This window comes from Homo sapiens, chromosome 1 (genome assembly GCF_000001405.40).
Source record: "Homo sapiens chromosome 1, GRCh38.p14 Primary Assembly".
Taxonomy (NCBI): Eukaryota; Metazoa; Chordata; class Mammalia; order Primates; family Hominidae; genus Homo; species Homo sapiens.
The window spans coordinates 178,524,326-178,539,581 of NC_000001.11; the positions used below are offsets into that span (position 1 = coordinate 178,524,326).

The 15,256-nt window shown below is 49.6% G+C and overlaps 1 long non-coding RNA gene across 5 annotated transcripts, besides 1 other annotated feature; it reads right to left on the minus strand.

The window, feature by feature from the left end:
* Positions 1 to 1,839: 1,839 nt before the first annotated feature.
* Positions 1,840 to 8,407, minus strand: LOC105371631 (uncharacterized). Of its 5 annotated transcripts, none has more exons than XR_922310.3 (5): positions 8,011 to 8,407; positions 4,688 to 4,822; positions 3,705 to 3,814; positions 2,894 to 2,976; positions 1,840 to 2,073 (listed from the first exon to the last, which is right to left on the minus strand). It is a non-coding gene; the product is annotated as an uncharacterized LOC105371631 (long non-coding RNA). The 5 variants fall into 5 exon arrangements; XR_922309.3 differs by lacking the exon at positions 8,011 to 8,407 and adding an exon at positions 7,143 to 7,256; XR_922308.3 differs by lacking the exon at positions 8,011 to 8,407 and adding an exon at positions 6,764 to 6,863.
* Positions 12,064 to 13,263: an enhancer, noted in NCBI's record as "P300/CBP strongly-dependent group 1 enhancer chr1:178505524-178506723 (GRCh37/hg19 assembly coordinates)". NCBI's record gives its function as "activates an origin of replication core promoter dependent on BRD2, BRD4, P300/CBP, MED14 and CDK7 cofactors, with strong dependence on P300/CBP, by STARR-seq in HCT116 cells {active_cell/tissue: HCT116}" and the evidence as "EXISTENCE:reporter gene assay evidence [ECO:0000049][PMID:35650434]".

Genomic DNA, 15,256 nt, shown 5'->3' on the forward strand with positions numbered 1-15,256 from the left:
CTACACAGAGTGACTTGCTTCTAATGAATGGAACATAGCAGAAGTGATGTGTATTACTTCTGAGGTTAAGTCGTAGAAGACATGGTGGCTTCCATCTTGCTCTCTCTTGGACACTCATTCTGAGTGAAGCCGGCTGCCATGTTGTAAGGACACCCAAGCAATCCTGTGGAGAGGGCCACATGGCAAGAAACTGAGGCCTCCTGCCAATAGCCATTTGAGTGAGCCATTTGACCAGGAAGTGAATCCTCCAGCCCCAGTAGAGCCTTCAGATGATGGCAACCCTGGCTGACCTCTTGCCTGCAACTGCCTGAGAAGATCCTGAGCCAGAACCACTCGGTTAAGCTTCTCCTAGACACCTGGCCTGCAGCAACCATGAAATAATAAATGCTTGTTGTTTTTAAGTTGCTAAGTCTTGAGGTAATTTGTTGTTACTTAGCAACAGATAAGAATGTGTCTATCTCCTCTTCATTGTTTTAAAGACTTGAAACATTGAGATTTATATGGTTATGCACACAAATGTACAACTTGATGAACTTTTACATACAGATACATGACTGGAATTGTTCTAGAACACTTCCATCCCCTCTTCCCAGCTCACATTTGCCCCATATCCAGGTTACCACTATTTTAATCTCTACCATTTTGTGTTATTTTGCCTGTTCTTAAAGTTGACATAAATGGGATAATATGTTATGTATTATTTTGCTCAAAATTGTACAACTCATGCATATTGTTTGTATATAGCAGTAATTCATTATTTTTTAACTGCCATGAAGTTTCTATCTTGTGTCTACCTCATAATCTATTTTTCTATTCTCCTGTTGGTAGTCCAGATTGTTCTTTAAAATAATCTAAGTAAAAGCCATTTTCCCAGTTGCCCTCTGTCCATTCTTCCCTATATTTGAACACTTTCCTTAGTCCACAGTGCCTGGTGGGTTACACTGCTTCCTCTTCACTGAGGAGTGTACGAAAGGGCCTGCCTGCCTCCCCATGCCTACTCTGCTTAGCCCTGAATGCCTGTCCTCTGCCTGCTTTTCTCTTGAAGCTGCTCCCCTAAAGGAAGCTCGTCACCTCCTGACAGCCAATTCTATTGACCCTTCTGCAGCTCTTGTTCTTCTGATTGAGTTCCTGCTTTTGACCCTGGTGAGTAATCGATCTTCCTTGAATTCCCCGGTTTCCTTGACTCCTGTTCTACCCCTAACTTCTTTTGTATCTCTCTTGGTTACTCTTCCTCCACTGTCTTAGTAGTTTGGGCTACTATATCAAAATATCGTAAATGGAGCAGCCTATAAACTACAGAGATTTATTTCTCACAGTCCTGCAGGCTGTAAAGTTCAAGCTCAAGGCACCGGCAGATCTGGTTTCTAATGCAGGCATTTCCTGGGTCACAGATGGCATCTTCTCATGTGTCTTCACATGGTAGATGGGGCAAGAGGTCTCTCTTTTATAAGAGGCACTAATTCCATTCGTGAGGGTGCTGCCATCATGACCCAATCCCCCAACTCTAATACCATCCATCATCCCCTTGGAGGTTAGGTTTCAGCATACAAGTTCTGAGGGACATAAACTTTCAGACCATAGCATCTGCCTCCATTCTCAACATGGATGACCCCTAGGCTTTTCCCTTAATTACCTGACATTTTTCTAGGGACCTACTTCACTTCCTTCTTGGAGTTGGAGGGTAGAAATTGAGTCTGTCTCACTCAACACAGCAGCCCCAGAATTAACACACTGCTCAGTGAATGAGTATGTAGCACTCAGTATCAACCCTCAGGACCAGGAGGTCGAAACCAAATTGACACAGGGCCTCCTGAAAGAGATCAAACTGGCTCTGGAATCTAGAGTTTAGATTAATTTATTAATGGGTAAAAAGACAAATGAGCTGGAACAAAAAAAGTCCGTGTGACTCCAAAACCCAACCCCTGGTCTTGTTCTTCATGTTCAGGAACACTGACTTCACATTTCTTTCTTAACTGAGTGTTCATAATCATAACTTGATTGATGATCAAATGTCTCTCCCACCTCCTTTCTCATCAGTATTCATATGGCAGCTTGTTATTCCTCCCAGGTAAACTGGTTGAGAGGGAATATAAATTTGTTTAAGAGGTACCAATGTCAACTTTGCTCTAAAGCATCATGAACTTGGCCAGCTGCGGTGGCTCATGACTGTAATCCCAGCACTTTGGGAGGCCAAGGTGGGTGGATCACCTGAGGTCAGGAGTTTGAGACCAGCCTGACCAACATAGAGAAACCCCATCTCTACTAAAAATACAAAAATTAGCCTGGCATGGTGGTGGGCCCCTGTAATCCCAGCTACTTCGGAGGCTAAGGCAGGAGAATCACTTAATCCCGGGAGGCAGAGGTTGCAGTGAGCCGAGATTGCACCATCGCACTCCAGCCTGGGGGACAGAGTGAGACTCCATCTCAAAAAAAAAAAAAAAAGAAAGAAAAGAAGCATGAACTTGACCAGTGGCCTCAAATCACGGTCTCTGGCAGGTGACCCCAAGCCTTGGACTCAAGCCCTGACCTGTCACCCAAGCTTGGATCTACCTGTTGTTTCAGGGCCTCATCATCCTGTCAACTTCAACACAGCCAAAACCAAACTTCCCCGTGTCCCCAAACCCTTCTCTGTCTGACTTGCTGATGGGAGTCCTTGTCTTTGCTCAGTTCTCTGACAGCTAGAGCACAGGCTGATCTCCAGCCAAAGGTTGGACCTCATCCCCCCACAGGGCTTTCACCAGCCTGTCTGTTTGCCTGTCCACTTGGTGCCCTGGACTAAACATCCCTGGAGGAAACCTGGAGTGCTGTGGAGCTCAGAGCCCCCTGCCCTGAGCAGCTGGTCCCAGAGCTCCTTTGGTTATTTTGAGGATTTCTGAGAATACAGGTAAAGTACCTGTTACAAAGCTTCCTCTTTCCTCTTCGATGGCTTCCTCCATGACATATCTTTGATGGCTTCTTAGGGCCTTTTCCGAAGAGCTGAGGATGAAAAAAGAGGATGTGAGTCCCTTAAGGGCAGAGACTGTGTAGAATTCATTGATTATGCCCTGCCCCTGCCACTTGATGGCTGCGTGGCTGTGGAGAGCATGCCCTTTTTCTGCCCTTGGTACCACGTTAGTCATTAAAGCTTCACATCTTCTCCATCTCCCATAGCAAATGAGCACCTGGGTCCCATGGCCTTTAACCATTTCAAATGTTTATTCCTGAATTCTCCCCTCTCCCATACACACTCTAATCCAAGCTCTTAGTGTCTGGATCCTGAGCTATGTCCAGTAGCTTCTGACCCAGTCCTCTTGACTCCAGGAGTTTCTTCTCACAGCCTGGAATCCATTGTCCACGCCACTTCCAGAGATTTCCTCCCGAACTACTACTTTACTCTGCAACTCACCGTCTTGCTCAAAAACCATCCCCAGGGCTGATTACTGGTGGGATAACAGACACACTCTTTAACCTGCCGTTCAAGGCCTTGCATTTCCCATATTATTTTTCACCTTTTCTCCCCCGTTCCTATCTGTAAACCCTACACTCTAGGGTCCCAAATGTGCCCTTCACATTCCCATATCCTTGCCTTCACTCCCCTTCTTCTCTGAGCTCCAGGAATCTCCCATCATCCCCGCTGCACTGCCCTCTGCTCTAACAGCTCCTCATTGACCCAAGGAATAGGTCACTCGGCCGTGTAGAGGTGTTTCCCATCTTACTGTTCCAACCTGCATATGTCTTTCCTCTCCATGCAGATTGTCAGTTTCTAGAGGCAGAGCTTATGCTGTCTTCATCTTCATCCTCAGCATGGTGGTCAGAACCCTGCACTTGGCAGGGGCTGAGGAAAAATTTTTTGGTTGAACTTTTGCTGCCTAGCCTGACAGATTCACATGTTGGCCCTTCTGACCCACTCCTGCCCTCTTGGCTCTGTGGCCTTGGGACTGTGGACATCCCCGAGGGTCCTGGGGTGCCAACAGGGGTCTCCTGTCACATGGAGCCCTCCGGGACTGTGCAGGTTTGGGGGCGATCCCAAGAAAATTCTCCATACTATCCAGTGTCCATCCCAGATCATATCTGGAAATATACATACATCACCATGGTGCCAGGCTGGCAGACGGGATGAGCAAGGCTGCCTCCCAGCCTACGTAGGTGCCAGTTTTAAGAACAGAAGCAAAGTCATCAGGGAAACTGAGCTGCCACAATCTGCTGAGGCACTAACTTCTTTATGGAAATGATGCTGCAGCTCTAATTCAGTGCCGAGGACTGGTGGCAGTGGTCTCTGCCTTCCCCATCCCTTGATCTTTCCCAAGCCCCCTCATGCCCCAGTCCCATGTCACCCAACTCACAGGCAACAGGACATCTGTGTGTGTTTCAGGGACAGGCTTGCCTGGCTGTCAAAAAGCTGTTTCCTGTGCCCCTGGGGAGAGACCTGCAGGGAGCCACCGCCAGACGTTCCTGCTGACACTGCGCACAGGCCAGCTTTACTGGCAAGCTTGTGCTTTATTCGTAGGTCTCAATGTCACCTCCTCTGGGACAGAATGATACTTAATTTTGTCTCTTTTCCTAAAAATACTATTCCTGTCCTGTGTACAGAGCCATGGTGGGCATCTCCCTGACCCAGGCCCCTACTTCTGTGCCATGGGACCCTGCCCTCCTGGACATAATCAGGAGCCGGTTGACTGGACCGGGGTGGATGCCAAACCCAGCTCACCCAGTTGGATTCCTTTCCCTGGGGATTTGGAACTGGAATTTGGTGAGAGCTCAGTTGGCCCCAGAATTGAAGATATGTAACTGGGAGCTGGGTTGCCATCTGCCACCGTTAGCTGAAGATGCAGAAAAAGCTGATCTGTTGGAAAAGAAAACCAGTTCACAGAAAGAGAAGAATGAAGTGGAGGAGTGGAGGGAAAGGCCCTGCAATCCAAAGAGGGGGCTGCAAGAGCCACTCTCCGGGTCCCAGGCCCTCTTGGTCCAGTTGTAGTTCCCACCTTAGCTCTGAGGGACCCCCTGGCCTCTTGGACTATATCACCCATTCCTGTTTAGGCAGAGTGGGCTTCTGTTATCACCAAACAAGCCTTAGCTAAGGCCACACAGAAGAGATCTTGGAGATGGTCTGGTCAATCTCTTCCATTTACAGGTGAGGGGTTTGAGGTCCAGAGGTGTGTGGCGAGGCGCCCTCCGCTGTGGCCAGGCCAGGACTACAGCCCAGGTTTTCTGGCTCCCGGCCCAGCACTTTGCTCCCTTTGCCCTGTGGCCCTCTGGGGCCAGCAACTCTTTTAGAGATAGCAGGTGAGATAGGAGGAGCTCAGAGGTCACAGCCAGCCGGATCCAGATACAAATTGGTGGATGCTGCAGACACGTTACTTAGCCTCTCTGAGACTCAGCATATTCCTCCAGAATGTAGGGGTGATAACATCTAGTTAATAGGAGTGTTGTGAGAATTAAATGAGTATATATGGAGGAATTAGATTTTTTAAAAACTGTTGTGTTGACAGTAACCATGAGGTCAGAGTTGCCTTTCCTGGATCAAAGGCCTTCCATTCACAGACCCAGTTTTCTGACACATTGACTAACACTTATCATGTCGAGGCCTGCAATGAAATGAATTTTGATCTACCTTAAAAAATAAACAAATGACTTACAGTTATTTTGAGAGGAGGTAGGAAATAAAATAATAGGAAAACGTGAGTGGGTGGGGATCAGGACTGGCTATTCTAGAGGACAGGGGTGGGTCCCTTGTAACACAGCATCTCACTCCTGTCAACCTGGTGGCCAATGACAACAGAGTGAGGGGCAGTTGGCTCACCCCAGCCCTCCCATAGGTAACAGGTGCGGCAGCCCCAGGCCTTGACGCATGTGGTCATCAGAGAAACATGAGGGTGAGTCATCTGGGAGCAATTAAGAGGGGAGGCCCAGGAGGAGGCCAGACTGTGTCATCCATCCCATCACTGCCACAGCACTGGCCCAGTGCCCACTCACAACATTCCTTCTCCTGGGTCACAGGCCACAGGCCAGCCCAGAAGGTGGCTGAGGATGGGCTCAGGCATCCAACACTTCTGACTGGGGCCCAGATCCATCTCTCTTAAACTCAGCAGCTCTGAGGATCCCCCAATTCCATGGCAACGGGCTGCCTACCCACCTTCCCAAGGGGTGCTACTCTGACTTGCCACAGTCTAGTCTCAGCAAACTGAAGCTGTCCTTTAAAAACATAAATTAGAACATGTCACTCTTCAGCTCAGAACTTTCCAGTGTTTTCCCACTTCTCTCAGAGCAAAATGCAAAGTCAATGGTTCACAAAGCCCTACAGGATCCGCCCTGCTGCCTTCCCCATCCCTAACCCTGTACAGTATTTCACTTGCACTTTCTAGCCATGCTGGTTTCTTTGTTTTTCTTCAAACACAACACATACCCTCTTGCCTCAGGGCCTCTGCACTTGCAAACCCTACCCCCTCTCACCACCCTGCCACCACCATCACTAGAATTCTCAGCCTTCCAGTCGGCCAGCTCCCTCGCCTCAAAGTTACCTTCTCAGTGGCCCCCAGTCCCAGCATTCCTTATCTCTCTTACTGTCTGCTTTATTTTTCTCTCCAGCACTCTTGTCACCAACTCACATACCATACAGTTTACTTATTTGTTTATTGTCTGTCTTTTTCTACGAGAATCTAAGCTTTTTGAGTGTGGAGATTTTGTTTCTGTCACTGCCATATCCCAGGGCCCAGAACAGTGCCAGGCACTAGCAGGGGATCGATAAGCACCTGTCGAAAGGCCACGTGGACATCAAGAGACTTACCATCTACTGGGCACTGAGGGTTCTGGGCTAAGAGCTTTTCTAATATTATTTATTTCATTTTTTTTTCTTTTGAGACAGAGTCTTGCTCTGTCCCCCAGGCTGGAGTACAGTGGCGTGATCTCCGCTCACTGCAACCTCCGCCTCCCGGGTTCAAGCAATTCTCCTGCCTCAGCCTCCCGAGTAGCTGGGATTACAGGTGCCTACCACCACACCTGGCTGATTTTTGTATTTTTAGTAGACACAGGGTTTCACCATGTTGGCCAGGTTGGTCTTGAACTCCTGACCTTGTGATCTGCCTGCCTCAGCCTCCCAAAGTGTTGGGATTACAGGCGTGAGCCACCACGCCTGGTTATTTATTTCATTTTATACTTATGACAACCCTGTGAAGTCCCTCTGTCATTCTATGCAGCCGTTGAAATTGTCATTCTTGCCATTTTATACAGGATGAAATAAACTCAGAGAGAAGGTAATGAGCATAATCTGTCTGAGGTCACAGGATACGTGGCAGAGCTGAAATTCGAATCCTAGCATTCTGACTTCAGAACCTGTTTCCTGGACACTCTGGCTTCTCTCGATGTGGTCCCCGGCCCGGCAGCATCAGCACTGTCTGGGAGCTTGTGGGAGGTGCAGCATCTCAGGCTCTACCCCAGACCTACTGAATCAGAATCTGCATTTTCACAATACTTCCTGGGTGAGCCCTTCCAGGGCACACTAAAGTCACCACTATAAGCAATGGGATCTGCTGTATGGAAAACAGGGGGCCTCGCTCTGAACAAGGGGCTGCCCACGGCCTGGGGGTCATTCCCCTGCCATTACCGCCCCCCGCCCTACCCAGGAGCGCTCCCCTGTCTGCTGTTGCAATCCTGAAAGAAGGCTGAGAAGGGCTTGGTGCAGGTAGTGAGGCTTTAGGCTTCCTCTTCAGCTGCCCACGGGCCTCTGTCGGAGGGCCAGATTTCGTGTTGATCAGGGAAGGCTCAGCCCCTGCCTGTGTGTGAGAGCCAGGCCTGTCATGGACAGGGCTGTTGGAGAAAACGCTCCCCGTTCACTTAGGGAGCAGCAGGCTGCACCTCTCAAAAGCAGGCAGAGAGCCAATTTGACATCAGAGGTACAGCGCTGAGCCCGGGCAAGAAGCCATTTCCCCTTGACACTTCTCAGGCACTTGGACCAGGAAGGCTGTTAAAACAAAAACAAAACCTACTCTCATTTAGGTTATTAATGCCTGGGAGCCCTGACACTCATTTTATTACCAGGAGCCACCTTTGGTCTTGACATTCACTAAGGAGTGGGCCTGGAATAAAACCAGAAATCCCCATTCTCAGTCTGCCCCAAGCCCTCCAATTCCGAGGGCGCTGTATGTATAAGCTCGGGCAGGCAAAAGTCGACTGTGAGAACACGCCAGCAGAGGGCGCTGTGGCCCCATCAGTCCCTGCCCACTGAACTCTCCAGAAGGAAAAGCGGCAAGGATGCAAACAAGAAAATCAGACCAGACTGGGAGTCTAGACCCTGCGTCCCACGCGGTCCCACCATGGCTTCCTCTTTGGAATTTTCAGGGGGACCCAGGAAGACTGACACCGCTGATCTGTGCCTACAGGAAAGCCAGTGGCCCCTCACAGAGGGATCAGTTCCAAAAGGACACCCCAAATCCGTATTCGGAACTCACAATAAAGGGACTTCCATTCATTCCTTTATTTACTTAACTAGCATTTGTTGAGTACCTGCAATGGGCCAGGTACAGGGCTGGACGAGGTGTTTTTTCCATAAAATGATGCTGTGACAATGGTTAGATTCCAAGTTTGCTGCCCCACCCCGCCCCGCCAAAAAAAAACTGTTTTATATCTTTAATGGAATGAGACTATTTTCTGTTTTAGGGTCAGAGAAAAGGAATAGGGGAAGGACAGTGTGGAGAAGAGAGAGAAAGGAAGGGAGACAAGTAGGAGCGAGAGGACTGGAGAGAAAAAGAAGCTGGGTTTCAATCCCATCATGGTATATATATATTTATAATTATTTTATTATTTTTCCTCCTGAGTAAAAAAAATAGTACCGAGTAGTTGGGACTACAGGTGCATGCCAACATACCTGGCTAATTTTTAATTCTTTTTGTAGAAACAGGGTCTCACTATGTTGTCCAGGTTGGTCTCAAACTCCTGGCCTCAAGTGATCCTCCTGCCTCAAGCCTCAGCCAAAGCTCAGGATTACAGGCGAAGCCACTGCACCCGGCCCTGGTGTACACAAAATACTGAACCATAAAAGGTTTGGTTTTGGCATCATCCTATTTCCCTTTCTAGACCTGGACCCGAGACTTATCTCTGCAGAGCACAGCATTATGTGAGGCGCCCCAAAGCCAAGTGTCTGCAGCTGCTGCTCTTCCCAGCTCAGTGTTGGTAGGAGCTCAATCTCTTAAAAGAAAGCACCCTGATATGGGACAGACCAGCCCTCCCAGGGACTTTGCACATCTTTTTTTTTTTTTTGAGTGAAACAGGGTCTTGCTCTGTTGTCCTGGCTAGAATGAAGTGACACAATCATGGCTCACTGCTGCCTCAACCTCCTGGGTTCAAGTGATCCTCCTGCCTCAGCCTCCTGAGTATCTAGGGCTACAAGCACATGCCCAGCTAATTTTAAAATATTTTTTATTGTAGAGGCGGAGATCTCACCACGTTGCCTTGGCCGGTCTCCAACCCCTTGTGAGCTCAAGTGATCCTCCCACCTCGGCCTCCCAAAGTGCTGTGATTATAGGTGTGAGCCCTTACACCCAGCCTGTTTGCATCTTTTAATGAGTACCCAAATTAACCTCTAATTGGTAAGTTCCCAGGCAGTGGGCTGGAGGGGAGTGACAATTTCAGACTGTGCTGAGGATGGAATTTGGAAGCAAATTAGAGTTAGGGGCTGGGATGGAAAGATCATTGGCAAGTTAGGGGGTTTGCAGATCAGGGGTAAATATCTCTAGCAGTTTTGAGTGACTTCAGTGTCATTCTGCATGTGTGCTTGGGTGAGGCCAGAGACAGAAGGTCAGTTCAGGGAAAAGGCTGGAAGCCAGAGAACTGCTGAGCTGGGAGAAAGGCCTCAAGGTAATGGGGCTGCAGCAGGCCTGACTCTCCAGGGGCCACCACCTGAGAGCCCTCCCCATGCAGCATGGTTCTCCAGCTGGTTCTCTAGCATTTTGCCCTGCAGAACAGATGCCCTTGCTGCCAAATTGCCCACACAGCAGTTCCCTGTGGTCAGGAGAGACTTGCTCAGAAAGTCCTGCCTCAGCGGCTGTGAGCTGGGCTCTGGGAGCCTGGGTCTTTCCTAAAGAGCCTGCTGTAGGAGGTGAGCAGAGCCTAACAGGCCCGGGGACACAGTTGTGCCAGGGCCATGCAAGGACAGATTCCCTTCCCACCGCAAGCCAGGTTTTGCCATGGCACTGCATGCTAAAGTCCTCCATTAGGATGAAACTTAGTCATCGCGCACATGGATCTCCTCCTCTGCCTCCCAGGGGATCCCAATTAAGAAGCCCCCCTGCTTGCTGTTCCTTTGAAAAGTTCTGCTGGCTGTGCAGGAAGCGGGGCAGGGGAGGAGGAGACCTGCCTGCTCACCAGGCCTTGGTGGGACCACAAGAGAATCTGGGTCCCTGTCCTGCAGAATGTAAAGCTGGGGTTGCCCTGCCTCGGCCATTGTGCCTTTGCTAACGCTGAGTTCTCCAGTGGAAGCATTCCTCGGATCACCTCTCAAGTCCTGGCCATCAAAATTAATCCAGAGTGACAGAAGTCAAAATAGGGTTACCTTTAGAGTGCAAGGATGACAGGGAGGATTCTAGAGTGCTGATGCCCTATTCCTGATCTCGTGGTGGGGATATGGGTGTGTACTATGTGTAAAAATTCATCAAACTGAATATGTCAAATGGTGATGCTGCTTTGGAAAACAGTTTGGCAGTTCCTCAAAAATGGAACATGGAGGCCGGGCGTGGTGGCTCACGCCTGTAATCCTAGAACTTTGGGAGGCCGAGGTGGGTGGATCACCTGAGGTTAGGAGTTCGAGACCAGCCTGGCCAACAGGGTGAAACCCCGTCTCTACTAAAAATACAAAAATTAGCCAGGCATGGTGGTGAGCACCTGTAATTCTAGTTACTTGGGAGGCTGAGGCAGGAGAATCACTGGAAACCGGGAGGTGGAGGCTGCAGTGAGCCGAGATCAAGCCACTGCACTCCAGCCTGGGCAACAATGCCAGACTCCATCTCAAAAAAAAAAAAAAAAAAAAAAAAGGAGGGGTAATCTATAGACTAAAACAGACTAAAAAGTTATATCAGCCAGTTTCAACATCTGCATCTCATTTGTACCCTGATTCAAATTCTTTTTTTTTTTTTAGACAGAGTTTCACTCTTGTTGCCCAGGCTGGAGTGCAATGGCGCCATCTCAGCTTACTGCAACCTCTGCCTTCCGCATTCAAGTGATTCTCCTGCCTCAGCCTCCCAAGTAACTGGGATTAGAGGCACTTACCACCACGCTCGGCTAATTTTTGTATTTTTAGTAGAGATGGGGTTTCACCCTGTTGGCCAGGCTGGTCTCGAACTCCTGGCCTCAGGTGATCCACCTGCCTTGGCCTCACAAAGTGCTGGGATTACAGGCATGAGCCACTGTGCCTGGCTCAAATTCTTTTTAATAATTCACACAGGACAGTTTTAAGACAATTGGGAAATTTAAATTCTAGGAATTATTGCTAGTTTTGCTGTGCAGTAGAATGGTGGTTATGATACCCAAGAAGTTCTTTTCGAGTGATCTGCTAAAACATTCACAGATAAAATAGTATGATATCTGGTATTTGACTGAAAATAATAGAAGATGGAGTGAACTGATGGGTGTGGGGATGGGGCTGGGTTAAGCCATTGCTGGGGCAGGAGAGTGGGTAGGTTTGTAGTAGTTCATGATACTATCCTGTCTACTTTTGTGTATGTTCGAGTCTCCAAAGTTAATAAAGCTAAAACAAAGATATATATAGATCAAAAAATATATATGATGTATAACAAAGTATTTCTCCAGAGAAACAAATATAAACAAAATGGAACAGATTGAGAATCCATAATTATGTAAGAACAAGATCTTTCTCATCTCAGCCAGTTTTTCCATAACTAGGTTTTTTGGCAATGTGTGTTTCACAAGCTGGGACTCTCAACTCCTAATCCAGAAAATTAAGCAGAAACTTACAGATTACTAAAACCCAAGGAGAAAGAGTTGGATGCAGAAAAATTTATGGAAGATTCTGGGTCAGAAATGAGCAAGTGTTCACACCAGAAGGTCCTCTACTGAAGGCATGAGCCAGGCTGCAGACGTGCTGGTGACTGAATTGGATATGAAAATAGCATATCTGTCTGGCATCCTCCTTCCTCACAGAATTGGATGGCAGATCCCTGGTTCTCAGGACCATTGAACATTAAAACCACCTGGGGGCTGGGCACAGTGGCGCACACCTGTGATCCCAGCACCTTGGGAGGCCGAGGCGGGTGGATCGCTTCAACTCAGGAGTTTGAGACCAGCCTGGGCAAGATGGGGAAACTCCATCTCTACAAAACAAACAAACAAACAAACAAACAAACAAACATCCCACCTGAGGAGCTCTGAAAACATACAGATGCCCAGGCCCATCCTGGACCAATTAGATTGAGATCTCTGCAGGAGGGAGGCCTGGGGTTTCAGTGGTTTCAAATGCTCCTCGGGTGATTCTAACCTGCAGCCAGAGTTGAGACTTGTGGTGTTAGGACAGGCAAGATTGGGATTTAAGCTGGTGTGCCCATATTTAAAAACAGCTGGGTGAACGAGCTGGGAAATGGTGGCAGCCATGGCTGCCAACTCAATGACAAATTGAGTTGATAGGTGAGACACTGGGTGTCACCTTTAATCTGTTTGCTGTGAGTCACCTGAGGTCATTTGGAGCCACTGTGTCCAACCTGAGTCACTTCTCTCTGGGACTCTGGGGTGTGGCTAAGATCCTAGTAGGCCGAAGGTTGGCTGCTTTGGACTGAGCTGTGGGCTTCTATGCTGCAGGCTTTGGCAAGCGCATATCAAGTACAAGCGTAAACAGCTGGTCAGCAGAAGACACAGTCTGGATAAAGCTGGGGAGGGAAGAGTTGTGGAGTGCACGAAGATTGGCCTCCTGCTTCATGCTGGGCTGTGAGTCAACCCAAAGTAACACTCAGCAGCTGAACAGGCAGTGCCAAGCCCAGATTCCATCTCCACAGCAATGAGATTCCTCCCCCAGCATCCGTGTCTAGCGCTGAATAGTGTGACTTTCATCCCTGCCACAGCAGAAAGTCAAACTGGCTAATTGGCAGGGAACAGAGAGATTTAAAGCAAACGCGTCAGGAGCCACTGATCCCCGACGACTGTGGGGAGGGGAGACACGTAGTTTCTAAGCAATCGCGACACGTTATGGGAAACTGTGATTCAAGTTTCCCAAATTCTATTCTCAGGTATTAGCTGTGGCACAGAGCAAGGCCCCCTTCCCTGCAACTTCCTTGCCACTCAGGTCGGTGGGAGGGACAGCTCGAAGCTAGGATGAGTGTTGCTTAACCTTTTGCCTGTCCAACAGGAGCCAATCACTTCCAGGACATCTTGATCCAGAGGGAAGGCACCTGCCCCCAACACGGGGTTTGTGGCTGAGCTGGCCTTGCGTCATGCCCGCCTGCTCCAGGTGTGACTTGCACTTTGACCTTCTCTTTGCCTGAGCCCCACCAGTTTACCTGTTCTGACCACTGACCAGCTCAGCACTGCTCACAGTGCCCCAGCATTGGGGTCCCTCTTGCTTGGCCTCTTTCAGAAACTTCCCTTCTCAGGCGGCCTTTTCAGGTGTGGCCTGGGACCTCTGCCTCTCTGCCTCTGGCCCCAGAGGTCCCGGCCTCACTTATCTGCTGCCAGAAAATGAGAAGGCAAGGCTCTGTAACCAATCAATCGGCCAGCCGGCCAAGGAAATATTGAAGACTCATAAAGAGCTTTGAGAGAGACGTATTTGGGAAGCGCTATCTGTAGGAGGCGGAGTGCTCTGGGTGTGAGGGGGAGATGCAGGGGCTATGGACTCAGGACTGATTCTTGAAGGAGGTGGGGCTAGGATGAGGTGAGAAGGATGAGCATATTAATTTGGTGGTGAGAAGAGGTGGGACAGGGTGGCTGAGTGTGTGGGGACCAGAGAAGAGGCAGGAGTGAGTGCGTGCTGAGAACACTCGTGGGTGGGGTGATACCCCCAAATACTTAACCATGGGCCCTGACCCACCAGAATCTGTGCCAGGTAGGACCCTTAGCTGCTAGGTTGTGGGGACACCTGGCCAGTCCTGGGAAAGGACCAGGAGAATGATGGGCAGGTGGCCACTGGGTCGGAGGTGGGGGCAGCTCAGGGCAGCAGCTGTTTACCAACCAGTATGGAAGTGGTTCAATATTTTATTAACTATAAAGGACCCTAAAGAGTGTGCAGTAACAGAATCCTCACCATGCCCGTGGGATGGGGCAGCGACATGGCCGCAACACCCCACCATGAGATGTGAGCTCAGCACTCAGACACTCTGAGGGGATGAGCTGTGTACTTGTCTGCAGGAGGACACAGTCATGAGTCAGAAGCTGCTGTTTTCCTTCCTTGGAAAGGAAGGTACGTTCCAGCATAGTGCAGGGGGCCCCTCAGGCCACCCCAGGCTTAGGGGAAGCTGAGCTGCCTCTATCCTTGCCCAGCCATTCCCAGCTTCCCCCTCTGCAGCCCTGGCCCCACCTGGGCGTGGCTCCCACAGCGGTGTGGGATAGAGAGGCTCTCAGGCTCCCCTGTGAGTCTGACTCCAATTCCTGTTGGTCTTGTAAAGTCAGAAGAAATCCCAGTGATGACAAGAGTATAAAACAAGACTTGTCAAACTTCATTTTGAGCCAGGAAAATCACAGGATTGTCATCGGGACAGGGGTTGTTGTTGTGACCTCTGTAGTTGGTCTGGCTGCTGCATAGTCGCTCTCGCTGAAAGCCACAAGACTTTGCTGGAAGGAAAGCCTTCCTCCCTCGATATGGAGGGCTCCGAGCTTCACAGGCAACCGCAAGGATCTGGCATGTGTCACACAGCAATGCTTCGACAGGCCAGGAATCCCACCTTCAGGGACCCCCAACAGAAGAAGAATCCCAAGTGCTGACACTGTAGAGCAGACGTCAGCTGCAAGCTCAGCACAGCCACTGCAGTGAGAGGTCTTGGTGGAAGCGACAGAGCTGACCTGGCTGACTCGTGCAGGCAATGGACATGGGGAAATATGTGCAGAACTTATCAGTCGGAAGGCTGGAGAACCGCATGGGGAAAATGGGCAGGTATCAAGGCGGCTGGCAGCAGGAGATGCAGGCGAGGCCAAGCTGTGGCCAGGCTGTGGTGAGGATACCGTGGCCGGGACTGCTGCCACAGGACACAGGATGCTACTCTCACAGATGGTCTCCTGGCCTAGCTGCCATGGCCAAAAATAAGTTCTCTTCTGTTCCTGCACCCTAGCCTTCAAAGCCCCACTGGGCTGG